We start from the raw sequence: 20,005 nt of genomic DNA, 5'->3' as shown, positions 1-20,005 counted from the left end.
ATCTACCAAGTCCAGTAGAAGCACAGAAAGGCAAACACCTAATTTGCTTGGATACAAGTCAGAAGTACTCACAGAGAAGATAATTTTTGAACTTGAAGGATAAATAGTTGGTTGGATAGAAATAGAGAAGGCAGGCCATTCTAGGCAGGAACATCAGCGTGCATAGAAATGGAGAGTTGAGGCAGCATGGCCTGTTGGTGTGTTCAGATGCTACAAGTCCTCTGCCAGATGAGATAAGGCTGAACATGCAGGCAGGGTCAGGTCATGAAGGCCTTGCATTGCTACTCTTAAGTCATGTGCAGCCACCTAAGGGTTTTGAGCCACGAACTTTGATCAGGTTTATATGGCTGCTTCATGGATGATAGATTGGAGAGGACATGACAAGAGACCAGTGACAGATAAGAAGGACCTAAAACAGAGCAAAAGAATCAGGGATAGGAGGAGAGGATATCTGGGAGATAATAGGGACAGGACTTGGAAACTGATCAGATGTGGCTGTTGGAGAGGGAGATGAATTCAGGGTAATTTTCAGGATTCCTTAATCCTTCCACTGAATGCATGCATCTCCACATCTTGACTTTTTCCCTACTCTCCTTCCTCTCCTCCCCCATTTACAGCACTACGGTTTTACTTTTTTTTTTTTTTTTTTTTAGACAAAGTCTCCCTCTGTCACTCCAGGCTGGAGTGCAGTAGTGTGATCTCAGCTCAGTACAACCTCCACCTCCCGGTTCAAGCGATTTTCATGCCTCAGCCTCCCCAGTAGCTGGAATTACATATGCACCTCCAAACCTGGAATTTTTGTATTTTTAGTAGAGATGGTGGTTTGCCATGTTGGCCACGCTGGTCTCAAACTCCTGGCCTCATGTGATCTGTCTGCCTCGGCCTCCTAAAGTGCTGGGATTACAGGTGTGAGCCACTGCGCCCAGCCCAGTTTTGCTTTGAGATAAATTATCCATTATACCAGGGCTTACTATAGCTCACTCCTTAGATTCATGAATTTAGCATAAATAGTGTCTTAGCTTTTACTGACTGTTTCACCTGTGTTTTATCCTATTAATTGAATTCTTAAGGTTTCCTTTTAAACTGAAATTCATTTTCTCCCAATTTTAGAAGAGATACAATTTTTTGGAAAGTCTTCTCTTCCTTCTCTCCTCCCCAGTTAGCTTATCTCACATCAAGTTCATGGGGCAGGAACTGGATCTAATTCTATGTACTACTTCATGCCAAGCATGTTCTTGGCATTCGTTGAATGCCGATTACTTCTACAGGCCACAAAAAATAATAACAACAATCTATAAATACCTTGGCTTCCTGCAGTTGAGAGGAATTAACCACACTGCAATTAAGGAAAAGCTGGAGAAAACATTTAGTTAGCAGCTTCTCAAGGCAGACAATAAGATTAAGGTAATAAATACCAGTTCCAACATATTTCTTTGGAGATGTTTCATAAAATAGTCCAATAAAATGCTAAAGACCACCCAATGCCACAGCAGAATGCTAACCACATATGAGTCACTCAAAAGCCAAAATTGAACAGATTCATCTATCATGTAAAAGGGATAGAAGAATAAACATCAACAATTTATACTGCTGCCAGATTATAAAAAGGAAAGCTTGTTATAAAATCTAGTTCACATAAAATATCACACTTTTAGAATAATAAGACAGCAAGAGAGTATGATTTCATTCATAGACTTTTAGATAAAACTATAAATGGTATCTGGGTTTAGGCACAATGGTAACCAAGACGGGTATGATATCTACAATAATTGGTCCTAGGCAAGAATCAATAGATAAGACAGATAAAGGATAAAATATGACAAAACATTTGTTAAGATTAGAAGATCTTCTGAGGCAACTTAGGAAAGCATTACCAACACAGTGCATCTAATAAAATAATGACTTGTCTTTGTTAATACAGTTTAATTCAAAATTTCAAAGATTAAACCCAAGAATATAGACAAATTAAGCGTACTAATATAATAAGCACACACCTGGAAAATATTTTAGGTAAATGGCTGCTACAGAATGAACTCAGATGGGATATGAAGCAATGGACCCAGAAATCCCAGCCAACACGTGATATTGCAATATTCCATCATTTACTATCACACTGGACCTCACTGATGCAGAAGTTTCCATTAGGCGCCAAGTCAAAAGAGATCACAAAAGAAAAGACAAGTAAGTGTATAGCTCTGACAGAAGAGCCAGAGCAAACAAGGAAATTGGGGCACATGCAGGCAAAGTGGAGAATCTCAGCAAGAAGAGAGCTCTGGTTTCAGAAACAGACCTTTATCCATGGCACCCAGAACACTGGTAACTGGGGAAAACTGAAGGAGTGTGGAACCTGGGAGGGGTCACTCATAGATTTGCAGGGCTGGAGGAATCAATATGGAGACCTGTGGGTTGGGAAGCTATGCTATAGATTCCTATTATGTCATCATCAAAATATTTTATACCAATAACAGTTTCAAACCAAGTTTACTACTACTTTCCATATTGCTTTAATGAGCTAAGATTAGGCTGAGCAATTATTAAGTGCTATCATTAAATAATAATCATCTGATTGCCGTGATCTCACTTTATCAGATAATCCTGTCCAAAGGCAATTCTCCTGTGTTTCACTAGACCTGAAGGTCACGGAGAAATCTCTGTATTTTTTTCTTGACTTTATCTTTCTACAAAGATCATTTCTCCTATGAGGATCTTATCGAGGTGGGTAGAAAATTATTTTACATACTAGCATCACTTTGTATCCATCTACTCTAATCTCTCCAGATGTAAATCCTCCCATCACAAGCTTCTTCCTATGGATTCTCTTGCCTGGGGAGGCATATTTGAGTTGCATTTCCTCCAATGTGCGTCACCTTCCCAAAGAATCCAAGGATGCCATCAACTTCTGTTAGAGGGAGCATTATGTTTGGTATAGCACATCCGGTATTTGGCAGAGTCAGGAGTCCTTCACCCTCCCAGGAACTGTACTTTGAAACTTCCCATAATCCTCCACTGTGATCATAATGTTTCAGCTCACCTTCCAGGCAGGCCTAGGAATCACATGTCTGGGACACACACATGCCATTATCACCAAATAGATTTCTTGATAGTCATTTAAAGGACCCTTCACTGTGCAGTTTACAGTTTCAAAGTATTTTCACACATCTCATTTGATCCTGGTGACAATCCCATTAAATAAGCAAACAAGGTTGCTACCTCTGTTTCACAGTTAAGAGGCCTAAAGATTAGAGAACTGTAGATACTTGCCCAAAGTTTGACAGCAGTACAGGGAATAATGCCAGACATACTGACTGAGGCCATATGTAAAATCATTTTCTGTCTACCTTGGTGCCTTCTCCTCCTCTCTTTATCTTAATCACATCCTCCCAACCAAAAAGAAAAAAAAAATGCCGCCTTATAACACTGGAGCTCACAGAATGGTCCAAGAGGCCCATAAAACGGGCTGTTTCAGCTGAGCTTGGACAGCAGCTAAATCAAATCACCTTTGAATACTTTCCAACCTCCCAGGGAAATGTCCCTGCAAGGACATTGCACTTTGGATCAGTCTGTTTACCAATCTAAATGAGAGCCTCTTTCCATGGGAAATCACAGACTTAACTATTCCTGGCCCACATCCCTCAACAGCTAATATAATAAAGACCCTAATATCTCTGTGCTCCCCTTTCTGTCCTATTGTGGCTTGCTGCATTATTAAAATGCAGCTGATTCTGTGTCAAGTGACAAGCCACAATAGGGCAGAAAGGGGAGCATAGAGATATTAGGGTCTTTATTATATTAGCTGTTGAGGTATGTGGGCCAAGAATAGTTAAGTCCATGATTTCCCACGGAAAGAGGCTTATTTAATAAAGTTATTTTAATACAGTTATTTGCTTATTATATATGCTTCCTACTGCACTGAGAGCCCGCAAGACTAAAGATTCCTTGAAACTCGAAACCTAGCACCTAGCACAGAACACAAGCAAGCGTTCAAACATTCGATCAAATATAAAATACGCAGTAGTTCTAAAGGGTCATGCTTTTCACTATATTCACTGGCCCCTGCTGTACAAGTTTGAAGGGGAAACTCCTCCATTTGCAGAAAATGGTAAGAAAATAGGAAAGCATTTCTGTTTCACTCACAACTAAGTCTTTTTTCTAAACCTGTTTGCCTAAGTTTCAATTTTCTTTTATCCATAAAAAGATGGAAGGGAATTAAATTTGTAGATGCCAAATCTGGACTACCCGACCTACTTGATCCCAATCCAAAAAATCTGTTAGGTCTAGAGTAAGGACTGAGAATTAGTAACATTTTTTAAAATTCCTTAGATGATTCTGATGATCAACAATCCATTCACCCACCAAATGTTAGGGTACACACTAAGCAGTTTTTATTCTAATAAAACTGATGTGTCATCTGCCTGGCTGACTGCAGAGTCAAGTTTTAAAATGCTAGACTAGGTGACTTCTCAGCGGTCTCATTCTTCTCTATAAAAAGCCTCTAGAAAAGCCTTTTCCTTGCCTTAAATAAGTCTTACTCTGATGGGAACCTCAGCAGAGATGGCCTAATGTACTTGTCTGTTCCTCCTATTCTTGGGAGGTGGCAAGAACAGGGCTTTCAGCAGGTGCCAGCATAGTCACAGGGATACTGCCTGAGAAACAGAGCAGGGCAGCTGAATGCTCAACACCTGTAATACTAAAGCTCTTAACAGCTCTTGAAGGGTAACCAGTAAGTATCCACTAGGTGCAAAGCACCACAATTGACCACTGGGGTGAAATAAAAACTCACATATTTGTTATTGAGCATTGTGGTCTCTAATGTCGGAAAGACCTGAATTCAAATCCTAGTTCTGCCACTTACAGGCTGAGAGATCTTAACTTAGTTACTTACCCTCTCTGTGCCTTTGTTTTCTCATCTGCAAAATGAAGAAGATGCAATCTTCCTTATAGGGCTATTGTTATTATAGCCATTATCAGAAATAGCCGTAACTCCACCTGTACATATATACAATGTCTGTAATGCCATACATTGAACAGAAGCTCAATGTATGGTAGCAGTTGCTATTTCTACATTGCAGCACTAAATTGGTACTAAGAAAGATAGAAAGTCTAGCACAGCATCTCCCTTAGTGAAAGGTTTATATTCGACACTCAACCAACAAGTATAAATTAAACCCAAGTAATTAATTAAGCATATTCATTACTGTGGGAGTTAGAGGTCTCTATCCTCAAGGGACTTACAATTTAGATGGGAAAAGTTAATATGCATAAATCAATCACAGATAATACAGGCATGATATTGCATTTAGCTGTGTCATAAGCTCTGCAAACACTGCCTAGGCCAAAAAGAGGGAGACGGCATGTCCTCGAGGGGCTGGCGATGGGTCAGCAGTGCCCTGGTGGCTAGGAAGATTGATTCAGTTTTTTCAATACATAGTTAAGCGTCTGCTGTGGACCCAACACCAGGCTTACCAAGAGATAGAGCAGTTTAATAAAACAGAATCAATAACTCAAGGAGCTCACATTCTCATGAAGACCAGTGTCAATGTATTAAGGGTTCTAAAGGGACTGTACGATTTGCTAATGAAACAGAGATCAGGGACAGCTTCAGAGGATGCAGATTTGAGCTGAGCCCATTAGGACAAATAGATCTATAGAAGCAAAGGATATTTAGGCAGGGAAAACGTGAGAGGTAGGAAAACACATTGTGTGACGCAGGGCAGGGACAGGACTGGTCTGAGCAGAATAGGGAGTAGATGCTGTGGGCTAGTGGGCAACAATCAGGGTTTAAAAAATGAGGCTGGATGGCAGAGAGACCAGCCTACTTATACAATTATGGGGAGGACACCTAAAGAAACCAGTTATACAATAACACAAGGCATGTGCGACCTCAGGCCAATTGAGGGGACAGAGAATCCTGAGGAAAGACAGATCACAGAGGGCTAGAACGGTCAGATGAAGGCTTAAGTGAGTCATAAAGAGGAACGAACACACAGAAAACACAGGTACCAAGGAGGCGGAGCTTAGCTGGGGACCCAAAACACTTTGGCATGAAATGACAAGAACATTAAAAAAAAACTGATGCATTTAGCATACAACAATGTATTACTTCAAATCCCTGTCTGCAGAATAAAGGTGAAATAAACCTAGGGGTTATCAGCGCCTAATGAGAATCTCCTAAAACTGGGGAAAAGAATCAATGGTTCCATTGGAATCCACCCTTAAGTGACTCAACAGCCACTAAGCTAAACGGCTAACAGGGAAGTCCCAGGCTGGCCTCACAGGACAGCAACTGATCCCCAGTGGTCCAGAAAAATCCTCATTTTAAACTGATTTCTTCAAGTAACAAAAGAAAGCAGGGGGTGGGATGTGAAACAGATTTTTTTTTCCCTGTTTGTAGAATTCATAGGCTAACAAATTACCTTGCAAATAGCAGACACTTAACTACATACCTTGTGAATAAAAAGAGAAGAGAAAATGGATAATAAAAAAATAGGAAAATCTATCCTCTATTAAATAAAGAAGATTACAAATACACTTAGGTTTGGAATACAAATTTTTTTGAGGAGTTTTTGTTAAGGTGTGTTGAATAATGATGAAGAAAATTATCAATATTTAATATAACATTGAATATTTATTTCATTCTGGCATGATAAATTTGTGTATATATGTATAAGAAATGAATACTTTGTGATTAGAATTGAACTATAGGAGAATAGAGATTGTTGAGTGAATTGAAATAACAATTCAACTGAATTAATATACCCCCAAAAATAGAAAATGCAACACAATAGAAAGTATTTTTAAAAACCCAAGTGCATACAGAAATGTAGTGTATGGTAAACGTGTATTTTCATTTAGTGGAGAAAAAAATTTAACTTATTAATAAACAATGTTGGGACAATCAGGTTGCCATTTAGAAAATATAAAATTAGATTTTTTACCTTATGCTGCATATTAGGATAAATATCAAATGAATGAAAGATATGAATTACATTTAAAAAAAAAATCCAAGTACTAAAAGAAAACATGGATGATTTCCTTAATACCCTGCAATTGACCAAAATCTTGCTATACTTCAAAATCCAGAAGCATTAACATAAGAGATTAATAAATGTAATTATATAAAAGCATACAAACTATGTAAACTATGTAAAAGCATAGCAAAACAAAAAAAAACATAAGCAAATCATCATTTTTTTGGTGTAAAAATGTTTGTAGTTATATGCAGAGGTTTGTTCTTATTCTTAGTGATATGGTTTGGATCTATGTCCCCACGAAATCTCATGTCGAATTGTAATCCCCAGTGTTGGAGGTGGGGCCTGGTGACAGGTGACTGGATCATGGGAATGGGTTTCTCATGAATGGTTTGCACCATTCCATTTGGTACTGTCCTTGCGATAGTGAGTTCTCATGAGATCTGGTCATTTAAAAGTGTGTGGCACCTTCGTCTCTCTATTGCTTCTGATCCAGCCTTGTGAAGTGCCTGCTCCCCCTTCACGTTCTTCCACAATTTTAAGTTTCCTGAGGCCTCTCCAGAAGCAGAGAAGATGCCAACATCAATCTTCCTATACAGTTTGCAGAACTGTGAGCCAATTAAACCTTTTTTTTTTTTTTTATAAAGTACCCAGTCTCAGGTTATTTCTTTATGGCAATGCAAGAACGAACTAATACATTTAGGATGTTTATCTTAAGTATTTAGTGATGAAGTATGAATAATCCCTACAATTTATTTTCAGATGGAATAGTAAAACGGTGTTTATGTGTATAAAGAACTATAACACAAATATGGCAAATTTATTAAAACTTTGTAAACCCAGATGGAGAATACGAGGTCATTGCACTATACTTTCAACTTAAAAAGTTTTCAAACAAAAAGTTATATGTGGTTGGGGTAGAGAAATACCATAAGTAAGATCAAAAGACAAATGACAAAGTAGAAAAAAAGCTTACAACATATCACAAAGGGCTTGTATTCCTAATATACAACAAGCTCCTAAATTTTGAGAAGACCAAAACCCTGATTTAAAAAAAAATATGGCAAAAGATATAAGCAGATGATTTACTGAAAAACAAATGCCAATGGCCCTTAAATGAAAAGATGCTCAATCTTACTCATAACAAAAGAAGTACAATTAAAACTCTACAGGGATACTATTTCTCACCTATCAGATAAGTAAAAATCCAAGTTTGACAATACATTCTGTTGGCCATGGTATAGAGAAACAATCATTGCTACAGAATGTAAGATTGTATATTCTTTATGGAGAGAAGTTTGGCAATACATAGCAAAGTTGCATATGCATTTACCTTTGACCCAGGAATCCCACTTCCAGGAATCTACACTGAAAACAAACTAGAAAATTATTAAATTATTTATGCACATGGTTATACATATGTGTACACATATGGATATTGTGACAGTATTTGTAAAAGCAAAAGGCTGGAAATGGTCCAAATATCAATCTATTGAAAACAAGTTGAATAAACCACATTCATCAGGATAAACTATATGGCTTTAAAACAGAGTCAGAAAGCATTCCATATACTTGCATGGATGATTTCCAGGATGTGGAAATTAAGTGTTGTTAAGTGAAAAAAAATTACAGAGAGAAAAAAAAAAAAGCATACCTTAACCAAACTGTGAAGGTTAACATCATCAAAAATGGAACAAACCAATATTTTGTGTCTCCTGATATGATGCATTAGGAAGGATATGGCATCATTTCTGTGACTTCCCTGTCCCAAATGCTAACCCTGAATCTAAACATGAGAAAATATCAGGCAAACACCAAATAATGGGCATTCTACAAAATAACTGGTCAAAATATAAGGAGGCCTGAAGTCCCAGCCAGAGCAATCAGGCAAGAGAAAGAAATAAAGGGCACCCAAATTGGAAAAGAAGAAGTTAAACTACATTGTTTGCCAATGATATGATCTTATACCTAGAAAAGCCTCAAGCCTCCTCCAAAAGACTCCTAGCTCTGATAAATGAATTCAGTAAAGTCTCAGGTTAAAAATCCATGTACATAAATCAATAGCACTGCTATACACCAACAACTGCCAAGCTGAGAATCAAATCAAGAACTCAATTCCTTTTACAATAAATGCAAAAATAAAATAAAATAAATATCTAGAAATATATTTAACCAAGGAGGTGAAAGATGTCTACAAGGAGAACTACCAAATGCTGCTGAAAAAAATCATAGATGACACAAACAAATGGCAATACATTCCCTGCTCATGGATTGGAAAAAATCAATATCATGAAAATGACCATACTACCCAAAACAATCTACAGATTCGATGTAATTCCTACCAAAATATCAAGATAGTTTTTCACAGAATTAGAAAAAACAATCCTAAAATTCATATGGAACCAAAAAAGAGCCCAAATAACCAAAGCAATCCTAAGCAAAAAGAACAAATCTGGAGGAATCACATTATTGGACATCAAATTATACTACAAGGCTATAGTAACCAAAACAGCATGGTACTAGTAAAAGCAGATACACACATCAATGGAACAGAATAAAGAACCCAGAAATAAAGCCAAATACTTACAACCAACCAAGTTTCAACAAAACATACAAAAACATACCTCGGGGAAAGGACACCTATTCAACAAATGATGCTGAGAAAACTGGACAGCCACAAGTAGAGAAGAATGAAACTAGATATCTATCTCTCACCATATATAAAAATTAATTCAGGCCAGGCGCGGTGGCTCATGCCTGTAATCCTAGCACTTTGGGAGGCCAAGGTGGGCAGATTGCCTAAGCTCAGGAGTTCGAGACCAGCTTGGGCCACATGGTGAAACCCCATCTCTACTAAAAATACAAAAATTAGCTGGGCATGGAGGTGGGTGCCTGTAATCCCAGCTACTCAGGAGGCTGAGGCAAAAGAATCGCTTCAACCCAGGAGGTGGAGGTTGCAGTGAGCCGAGCTTGTGCCACTGCACTCCAGCCCAGGTGAGAGTGTGAGACTCCGTCTTAAAAAAAAAAAAAAAAAAAAAGAGTCAGAAACAATAGATGTTGGCATGGATGTGGTGTAAAGGGAACACTTACTCACTGCTGGTGGGAATGTAAATTAGTACAACCTCTATGGAAAACAGTATGGAGATTTCTCAAAGAACTAAAAGTAGATCTACCACTCAATCCACCAATCCCACTACTGGGTATCTACAGAAGAAAAATAAGTCACTACATCAAAAAGACACCTGCATACATCTATTTACTGCAGCACAATTCACAATTGCAAAGACAAGGAATCAACCTAAGTGCCCATCAACTGATGAGTAGATAAAGAAAATACGGTGTGTGTGGCCATGCGTGGTGGCTCATGCCTGTAATCCCAGCACTTTGGGAGGCCAAGGCGGGCAGATCACCTGAGGTCAGGAGTTCGAGACCAGGCTGCCCAACATGGCAAAATTCCATTGCTGCTAAAAATACAAAAAATTAGCTGGGCGCGCTGGCGGGCGCCTGTAATCCCAGCTACTCAGGAGGCTGGGGCAGGAAATCGCTTGAACCTGGGAGGCAGAGGTTGCAGTGAGCCAAGATCGTGCCACTGCACTCCAGCCTGGACTACAAGAGCAAAACTCCATCTCAAAGAAAAAGAAAATACGGTGTGTGTGTGTGTCACACACACACACACACCATGGAATACTACTCAGCCACAAAAATGAATGAAATAATGTCTTTTGCAGCAACCTGGAAGGAGCTGGAGGCCATTATTCTAACTGAAGTAATTTAGGAATTGAAAAACAAATACCACATGTCCTCATTACAAGTCAGAGCTAAGCCCTGGGTACGCAAAGGCATTCAGAGTGGTCTAACAGACATGGGAGAGTCAGAAGGGCAGAGGGCAAGACGGGGGTGAGAGATGAAAAACTACCTAGTGAGTACGATGTACACTACTCGAGTGATATGTACACTAAAATCCCAGACTTCACCGCTATACAATGCATCCATGTAACCACAAACCACTTGTACCCCTAAAGCTACTGAAATTTAAAAATAAGGTTATGAAAGACAAAGAAAAATGAAACTACTACACATTAAAGAAGACTAAAGAGATATAACAACTAGATGTATTACACTAGCCTGGATTGGATCCTGGACAAGAACAAAAATTATTTTTTGTTATATAGAATATTAATGGTAAAATTTAAATAAAGTCTGTAGAGAAGATAATGGTATTGCCTCAATATTATTTTTTTAATTTGACAACTGTACTATGATTATATAAGAAAATATTCTTGTTTTTAGGAAATCCACTCTGAAGGACTTATAGAAGAAGGAACATCTTGTCTGTAACTTACTCTTAAATGGTTCAAGAAAAAAACAATGTGTGTGTGTATATAGATAGATGAAGGGATCAATGAATATGAGAGAGGGTGACTGGGGAAAGCGGGGTGAAGGGTAAATTGGAGTCCTTCATCCTATTTTTGTAATTTTCCTCTGTGTTTGAAACGATTTCAAAATAAGAAATTTAAAAATTTCAAATACACAGAATAGTAAATATAATATGCTCCCTTTTATTAGATTTAGGAAGGAGAAGGAAATATATATTTTTACATATGCAAAAGACAAACACTGAAAATATTATCCAAAAACTAATTTTAAAGTTTGTTTACATATAGGGTGAAAGAGGACACAGGTAGAGAGTAGGCATCTCTGGGGCACAGTGGCCCACACCTGTAATCCCAGCACTTTGGGAGGCCGAGGCAGGTGGATCACTTGAGGTCAGAAGTTCGAGACCAGCCTGGACAACATGGCAAAACCCATCTCTACTAAAAACACAAAAATTAGCCAGGCGTGGTGGCACATGCCTGTTAGTCCCAGCTACCCAGCCAGCTGAGGTAGGAGAATTGCTTGAACCCAGGAAGCAGAAGTTGCAGTGAGCTGAGAGTAGACATCTCTGAATATACTATGTTAGTAGCTTTGAATTTGGAATCAAGTGTTTTAGATATTCAAAAAATAAAAAATGTTTAAAAATCAGTAAAGCTTGGAAACAAACTGAAAACAAATGAATCTACTATTATCTCAAATTGGTGGCATAAGCACTGGAGAAAGTCAATATTTCAAAGATCTTCAGAGCACAGTATTTTTAACAATAAATACTCGTCGAATAGATTCTAAGCACAAAGAGAACTGCAGTATTATTGCAGAAATATTGGCATTTTTAAAACTATTCTATATATACTGTTGATAAAACAAATAAAACAAATAATTACATTTACATAATATTAGGAACCAAGATTTTGAATAAAAAGAAAAATATACAAGTATAAAATTAAAGAAGTTTAAATCCTGTAACGTCAGTTGTAATTAAAAATTGGGGGCTGGGTGCCATGGCTCATGCCTGTAACCCCAACACTTTGGGAGGCTGAGGTAGGCAGATCACTTGAGCTGAGTTCAAGACCAACTGGGGCAACATGGTGAAACCCCATCTCTACAAAAAATAAAAAAATTAGCTAGGCATGGTGGTAAGCGCCTATAGTCCCAGCTAATCAGGAGGCTGAGGTGGGAGGATCACTTGAGCCTGGGAGGTGGAGGTTGCAGTGAGCCGAGATCATGCCACTACACTCCAACCTGGATGACAGAGCCAGACCTTGTCTCAAAAAAAAAAAAAAAATGGGGATTCATTATATCATTCTCTCTACTTTCATATATTTTTTAATTTTTTCATAATAAAAAGTTCTTATGATATATCTCCCAAAGACCTACTACATGCGTAGCACAATGTGACCTTGGTTGGCTTCTGGAGGGTTGTCTACTCTTCCCTATAATTCAATTTCAGATTTAGTCATCCTGTGTGAAATAAAAATTGAAGTTATTTTGTTACATGCCCACCAAAGAGTTTATTTCACTTTTTGGCACTGGGGTTTTTTAACACTGATGATATCTGAAAGCACTGTTCTGGACACTTATCATTAGAAGCCAAGTTTCCCTCAACAACAGATCACGTGTCTTGCTTTATATCATTTACATTTGCTAATTATTATCTAGAGAAAAAGTGTCAGTGAATAATCTTATAATAATCAATGGGAGCTTCTCTACTTAAATATTCCTTGAAATTAATTGTCTTGTAACAAGAGGTCATTTGCAATTACAGTAATCATCCTAATTTATCTGTTGATAGATTCCAGCTTTTAAATACTAGGTTGTGAAAATAGAGGTTGACCTGCATTGTAATATGCTTGTTTCAAAGGACCTTAACTACAGTATTTAGAAATGGGTTATTGCGCCCCAACTGCGAACATTCAATTATTGCTTTATGTACTCTGTGCGGGAACATGATCTGAACAATTATCCCATATCCCCAAAGAGGTGAGGGTTCTACTTCCTGAGACAATCCAGATAATTAGAGAAGCCGGAGTCCTTTTTCTAAAGTAAAAACAATAAAAAGTAATGATTGCTAACTTTCACTGTTATTTTTGTTGTTATTGTTTATAATAGTTAACATTTACTGAGCACTTCATATATGGCAGACATGGTGCTAAGCACTTACACAGTCTCCTCAGTTTACCACTTCCTGAGACTCTCAGGAGATGATATGCCCAAAGTCACACAGCTGTAAAGGGCAAAACTAGTGTCCTCCACCATCTTCCTCTGGAAATGGAGATGCCATATCTGTCACTACCAGCTGTGACATTTGGAGACATTCACTTGGCCTCAGTTTCCTGGTTTGCACAATGAGAAGGTTGAATTAAACATCCTCTCCAAGGCCGGGCACGGTGACTCACACCTGTAACCCCAGCACTTTGAGAGGCTGAGATGGGCGGATCACTTGAGGTCAGGAGTTCGAGACCAGCCTGGCCAAACCCCGTCTCCACTAAAAATACAGAAATTAGCCGGGTGTGGTGGCATGCACCTGTAATTCCAGCTACTTGGGAGGCTGAACCAAGATCGTGCCACTACACTTGATCCTGGGCGACAGAGCGAGATTTTGTCTCCAAAAAAAAAACAAAAAACAAAAAAAAAATTCTCTCCAAGTCTGAAGTGATCGGTTTACCCCTCTCAAATGCAGTTTTTCAAATGAAAAAAAAAAAAAAAAAAAAATCCTAGTGTGCCAAGTTCTTTAGCAGAAAGGCATCTCTCTATAGGCCTCGACAGGACTTTGCAGTGATCACCCAGCTGAGTTCCTCATGAGAAATTCTGCTCATCAGAGATGTAGGTGAACAGGAAATTACAGTGCCAGAGGTCTTTTCAGAACCCATATCCAAAAGAGATGAACACTGGGTTTAGGGAGCAGAGGCATCTACACTTTTGTAAATATCTGAGTGGCAACAGAATGTGGAGAAGGATATGTTAAAAGGTATGAGGGAAAAAATCTAAAAGAATTCTGATATGGTTTGGCTGTGTCTCCACCCAAATCTCATCTTGAATTGTAGCTCCCGTAATTCCCAAGTGTTGTGAGAGGGACCCAGTGGGAGATAATCGAATCATGGGGGGGGCGGTTCCCCCATACTGTTCTCATGGTAGTAAATAAGTGTCACGAGATCTGATGCTTTTATAAGGGGTTCCCCCTTTCACTTGGCTCTCATTTTCTCTCTTGCCTGTCGCCACATAAGACATGACTTTCGTCTTCTGCCATGATTGTGAGGCCTTCCCAGCCACATGGAACTGTGAGTCCATTAAACCTCTGTTTCTTTATAAATTACCCAGTCTCAGGCATGTCTTTATCAGCAGAGTGAAAATGGACTAATACAAATTCTCTCCTCATTTCCTTCACCAGGTTCCCAATTCTTTCCTTGTTTCCCTGTTTGTAAACAAGCTTAATAACTGCATAAATTTTTATCATTTGGCCACTTACATAAAAATTCCTCAATTGTGAGCACTTAAGCTGTCTTTCCATTTTTCATTATTATAAATAAAATTGATGAATGTAAAGATATAATGCAAAAAATATTTTACCATATTTAGGCTATTTCTTTAGAATAGATTCACAGCTTAAAGAATTATTCAGCTAAAGGGTATATTTTGATATATACATATATATACACATACATGTGTATATATCATATACATATACATGTGTATATATCATATACATATGTATATACCATATACATATGCATATACATATATATAAAATCAAGTTGCTTTCCTAAGAGGTTGTACCAATTTACACTCCCACCAGCAGCACCAAAGACATCCTATTATTCACAGGATAGGTTCGTACTTGTCACTTTGGCCATATACCAACTGTTACCATCTCTGCTGCCTCCCCCATGCCATCCGTTTCCTTTACAACAAGCCAAGGATCCCTAATATGTTTCACTCTTCAAGTCTTCAGAGGACGATTCTACGCAATTCCAAGTGCCTCTGTAAATCCCCTCATCTGAAAAGAATACCTTTTGCTACCCTTCAATACCTCACAAAGACAAGAGAGAGATTCCCTCGCCCTGGCTGTTAAGTACTCTGGGATCCAAGAGAAAGCTAGAGCCGCATAAAGAATTAGGGAGACTACGATAAATTTTTAGTAAGGGAAGAATAAAGAGCCATGCAAGTAGGTTCCTAATACTTCTCTTAAACTGACTGAACCCTCTTTCTGTTGGCAATTTTTAAATAAAAAAAGAATAGCAGCAGTACGAGTCCTTTGCTTATATTTTACCATTTGTTGTTGTTTTGTTTTGTTTTTTGGCTTTTATAGAATGCGGAGTAAACCCAAAAGAGATTTCTGCTTTATCTAAACAGAAACTAAAAGCAAGGACACCATATACAGTTCTTAGGGAAAAGCAGACACACGAGCTCAATGCTTGCAGAATATGTCTGTGTAGTAAATCCTTCTAGGTTAATCAGGTTCCATATTGCCAGTGTCAGACACTGAGCTGCCAGACCCCATTTCCAAACTGGAGGAAAGTAAAGACTCTCTAGAATGCCTGGAGAGACTTTCTCCAGAGCTCTTGCTGCTATTCCTCATGGGCTACTGGAAGAGTTCCCATCCATGGACCCCAAGCAGCCTCTCTTCCGGTTATTATGACAGGAAACTATTTCAGTTTCTAGATCATTCTTAAAAAGAAAAACATTCTATGAGGGCCTCAAAAGTAGTAGCTCTACCTCCCAAAATGCAGCAGATGATGGCAAAATTACCATCCAGCTCTCACATGATTTGCCTTATCATCAAGACAAGTGGCTCTTATCATAGGGACCTAGAAATCCCCATGAACTTTCTCATAGGTCTATGGGCTCCCTGAAATAATATGCTAAATTCCACTCCCTGTTGATGAGTTTTCTGAGGAGAGAGGCCAAGGCTCCGAGATGAGGTTTTCATGGAGTCCAAAAGTGAAAAGAACTCACAGAGTCCAAAAGAGATGTCTGACACACCCCTACCTCTACCTCAATCTCTTGCACAGCCCTGGGTGCATACTGGGTATTCAGTAAACATGGAGCAAATTGAGAAACATCAATTGACTAATATATATATTCAAAACATAATGGTTATGCATAAAGGATTTACAAATACTGATTATTTATACATGAAAAACAGCAGCTGGAGTGTTTTTGGTTTGGGGTTTTTTAATGAAAAGTTGACTGTAATATCAGCAAGACAAAGCACTTGATTCTATCACAAAGACACAAATGCCTGCCTGTATGTTCACTGCAGTGCTATTCACATTAGCAAACACGTGGAATCAACTTAGGTGCCCATCACCAGTGGACAGGAAAAAGAAAATGTGGTACTATGAAGCCACAAAAAAGAATGAAATCATGTCGTTTGCAGCAACGTGGATGTAGCTGGAGGCCATTGTCCTAAGCAAACTAAAGCAAGAATGGAAAAACCAAATACTACATGTTCTCGCTTATAAGTGGGAGCTAAACACTGAATACACATGAACGTGCATATGGGAACGACAGACACTGGGGACCACTAGATGCGGGAGGGTGGAAGGGAGACGTGGGCTGAAGAACCATCTGTTGGGTACTGTGTTTACCGCTTGGGTGACGGAATTCATTGGGACCCCAAGCCTCAATGTCATGCAATATACCCATGGAACAAACCTGTATGTGTTTGTTAATCTATAAAAAAGTTGAAATTAGTTTTTAAAAAGCAATTGTTATTAATAAAACATTTCATAATCTTTTTATCTGTATCTTCTCATAACAACGTTGTGAAGGAGAACAATGAGATACGCCTGGTGCCTAGAAGATATGATAAATGTTCACTGACTGATGTGTGGTAAGAAAGTGGAAGCAAAAGACAGATATGTGGACCTGTCCATCATCTGATGACCAGAAGCCATGAAGGACCGTTAGGCTCCCAGGGGACAGTGGAAGCCCCATGTGTCCCAACACATATGTGTGCATACAACACACACACAACCTGGGCTAGGCACCTTTTCCTGTACCGTGCCTTCCTGAAAGAGCTGGAAGGGTACAGCCCCAACTCGTTCCAGTTGGGATCTTAGCAGAAAGGAGAACTAAAAGGCACTTTAGCTACAGCCTGACAAGGTGCTTTCAGAGCACCAGCCCCCCTTTTTATTTCAGGGAGCACAATGATACATTTGTTCACCAATGTGCTCAGTGGCATGTCTGAAAGACAAGGAGGAGTGAGGTCAGCAGTCCCAGCTGAGGGGTAGCAGGAAGTCCTGGGAGTCCTGAGTTATGTCTGCCAGGGCTCATAATGTGTCTCTTGACTTCCCTATGTCTCCCTCCCTTCCTTTTAAACAAAGAGGATGATAGCTAGGGTACCTGAATTCATGCATCCCTGTCTAGAGAAAGAAACACTAATGGCAAATTGTCTGGCAAGAATTCACCAGTTTAAAAAAAGACTTACCAAGCAGTCAGACTAAAGTGTCAGACACAGGCCGCAATCCATTAAGCAGCAGCAAGTAAATCCACAGATGAATCTAGCTGCTACCACCTGACATTAATCTGATAAAGACAGGACCAATGTATGGAAACCTGCAATATCTGGAGAGACAGCCTATGCAAACAGAACAAAATGCATAAAATGAGCTCCTGTCCCCAGGAAACTGAAGCCAGCATTTTCTGATTATTAGATTACGTCCTAGTAAATTGATTAATGCTGTCCACAGGGGCACTTTTAACTCCATTCTTACTCCCTAGTGCTAGGGTATACATATCTGCAAGAAGCTTCATGAGAGCTCAAGAAATTTAAGAAATGAAATGAATTTGATTTTGATTCGGACAATGGAACAAAGGCTGTCTCCTGTTCCAAAACAGATGAAATATATGAGTACCCTCCAGCCCCCCCAAAAAGCTACAGATCTATGTAGCAACATCAAAGAATATTGCAGAGAAACGTCTCTAAGGAAACTGTACTTGTTAAAAGGATGCAGCTGTTGGGAGTGGGGGCAGGCAAGTGAAGTTCTCTTCATAACGTGCACAGTAACTTCTAAGACACCCACCCATCCTGAATCTGCATCAAAGTCAACAAATCAAAATGTCAATTTGTGAATTCAGAAACTGTACCCATCCTCTGCATGCCCAGTTGTCCTTTCCCTATGTGTCATCTCTGAAACACCAAGATATTTTTGAAAGAAAACCTCACTGCATCCACAGTTGTCCCTAACTATGGCTGATTCCAAGGTAACATACTACGAATCTATCATATTTAACTACCAGCTCCTGTAAAATCTGTCTGAGCCATAGTTAGGAGTAAATATGGGACTCGAACCATGCCAAGCACAAAGGAAGCATTGAATGGAATAAATACCCTGGGTATGATGGATCCCAAGAAAGACAAAAGAAGAAACCTGGGGAGCGAAGGGTCACCATCTGGGGGATGGAGCATGCAAGACTCTACATCCCATGGATGGCATTAGCTGTCCACGCAAATTTACTGGGGAGCAGCCCGTTCTGGAAGCACTGGACAGAAAGGGCTAGGAATCTCCCACAGGGCATCAACCTGAAATGTGACGGATGCAAAGCAGTCTCAGGAGTCCACTACAGAGGACGATGGTGACACAGACTGCATACAAAAGTGAGTCACGACCCCGCTTCTGGAGAAGGTGACACAGCTGTCCTCACACTTCAGAGGCCAGGGGCTCAGCCTCACAAAGGCTAAACCTAGATCTTAAAAGGAAATATTCCTAAGTAAAGGAGGATGACACACCCAGCAATGCTAGCTTGAATATCCTTTCAATCGCCAAACAACCTCTACTTTGAATCCTCTAATCGCCAAACAACCTTCTACTTTGAGTATTTGACATCGTGAGAGGACTCAGCACCCAGAGAGATGTGTCCTAGATAGAGACCAGTACAAATTCTCAGAATTTAAAACCTGCATACCTCCCATAAATATCTGATCAACTGACAATCTTGGTAATAAGTTGGTTTCTTTTAAGTCAATTGTTCAGAGACTGACCTCACCCGGGATAAAACTGACCTTTGAATTCATTCTCTTCCTCCTCCCTGCCTCTAGTTTTCAAGATGAAACCAATGTTTTACACCTGAGTTACTCCAACTTGCCCTCAACCTCCCACTCCAGTGTTTCTCAAACTATACGGAAAAATCACATGGGGCTGTTGGCAAAACGCACATTGGACTCAGTGGGTCTGGGAAGGGGCCTGAGAGTCTGCATTTCTAAAAAGCTCTGCAATGATACCTGCTGCTGGTCTGCAAGCCACATTTGAGAGGCAAAGCTCTCACCATCCCAGATTACATTTCTAGACAATTCCTCTTCCAAGAATCCCCTCACAAAAACCTACAACAACTCCCAGTTCAGTTGGCCTGGAACCCAAACATCACAGATTCTTACCTTCTTTAAAAAAAAAAAAACAGAGCACCTGAGGCTCAAAGAGGTGAAGTAATTTACCCATCATCACATAGCTAGGGAGTCATTATTTGAAGTCAGAAAATGACCACCCAATTTAGAGTCATGGTATACTGTTTTATTTTCCCTTATACACTTACAGTATCTGAAATTAGCTTGTTTAATTTGTATACTTGTTTATTATTAGTTTCCTTCCTCTCCCTCTACCACATCTCTAACAACCATTACTAGTTTTGTAAAGCTCCAAAAGAGGAGGGATCCTGTCTGTCTT

At 39.3% G+C, this 20,005-nt stretch overlaps 1 protein-coding gene and 1 long non-coding RNA gene across 4 annotated transcripts in view; one reads left to right on the top strand and one right to left on the bottom strand.

The window, feature by feature from the left end:
• NOS1AP (nitric oxide synthase 1 adaptor protein) overlaps positions 1–20,005 on the bottom strand; it is a 300,785-nt gene that overhangs the window by 235,339 nt on the left and 45,441 nt on the right. The window lies entirely within an intron of this gene.
• LOC105371475 (uncharacterized) overlaps positions 1–20,005 on the top strand; it is a 61,354-nt gene that overhangs the window by 40,084 nt on the left and 1,265 nt on the right. The window contains exon 4 of one of the 2 annotated variants that reach the window (XR_007066697.1): positions 2,011–2,095. The exons of the other annotated variant lie outside the window; for it this stretch is intronic. This is a non-coding gene — a long non-coding RNA (uncharacterized LOC105371475). Of the gene's footprint in view, positions 1–2,010; positions 2,096–20,005 lie in introns of those variants that run through there. 2 annotated transcript variants of the gene reach the window in all.

Source organism: Homo sapiens, chromosome 1 (genome assembly GCF_000001405.40).
Source record: "Homo sapiens chromosome 1, GRCh38.p14 Primary Assembly".
Taxonomy (NCBI): Eukaryota; Metazoa; Chordata; class Mammalia; order Primates; family Hominidae; genus Homo; species Homo sapiens.
Note: the sequence above shows the minus strand (reverse complement) of the source record. Positions and strands in the feature narration are given on the sequence as shown.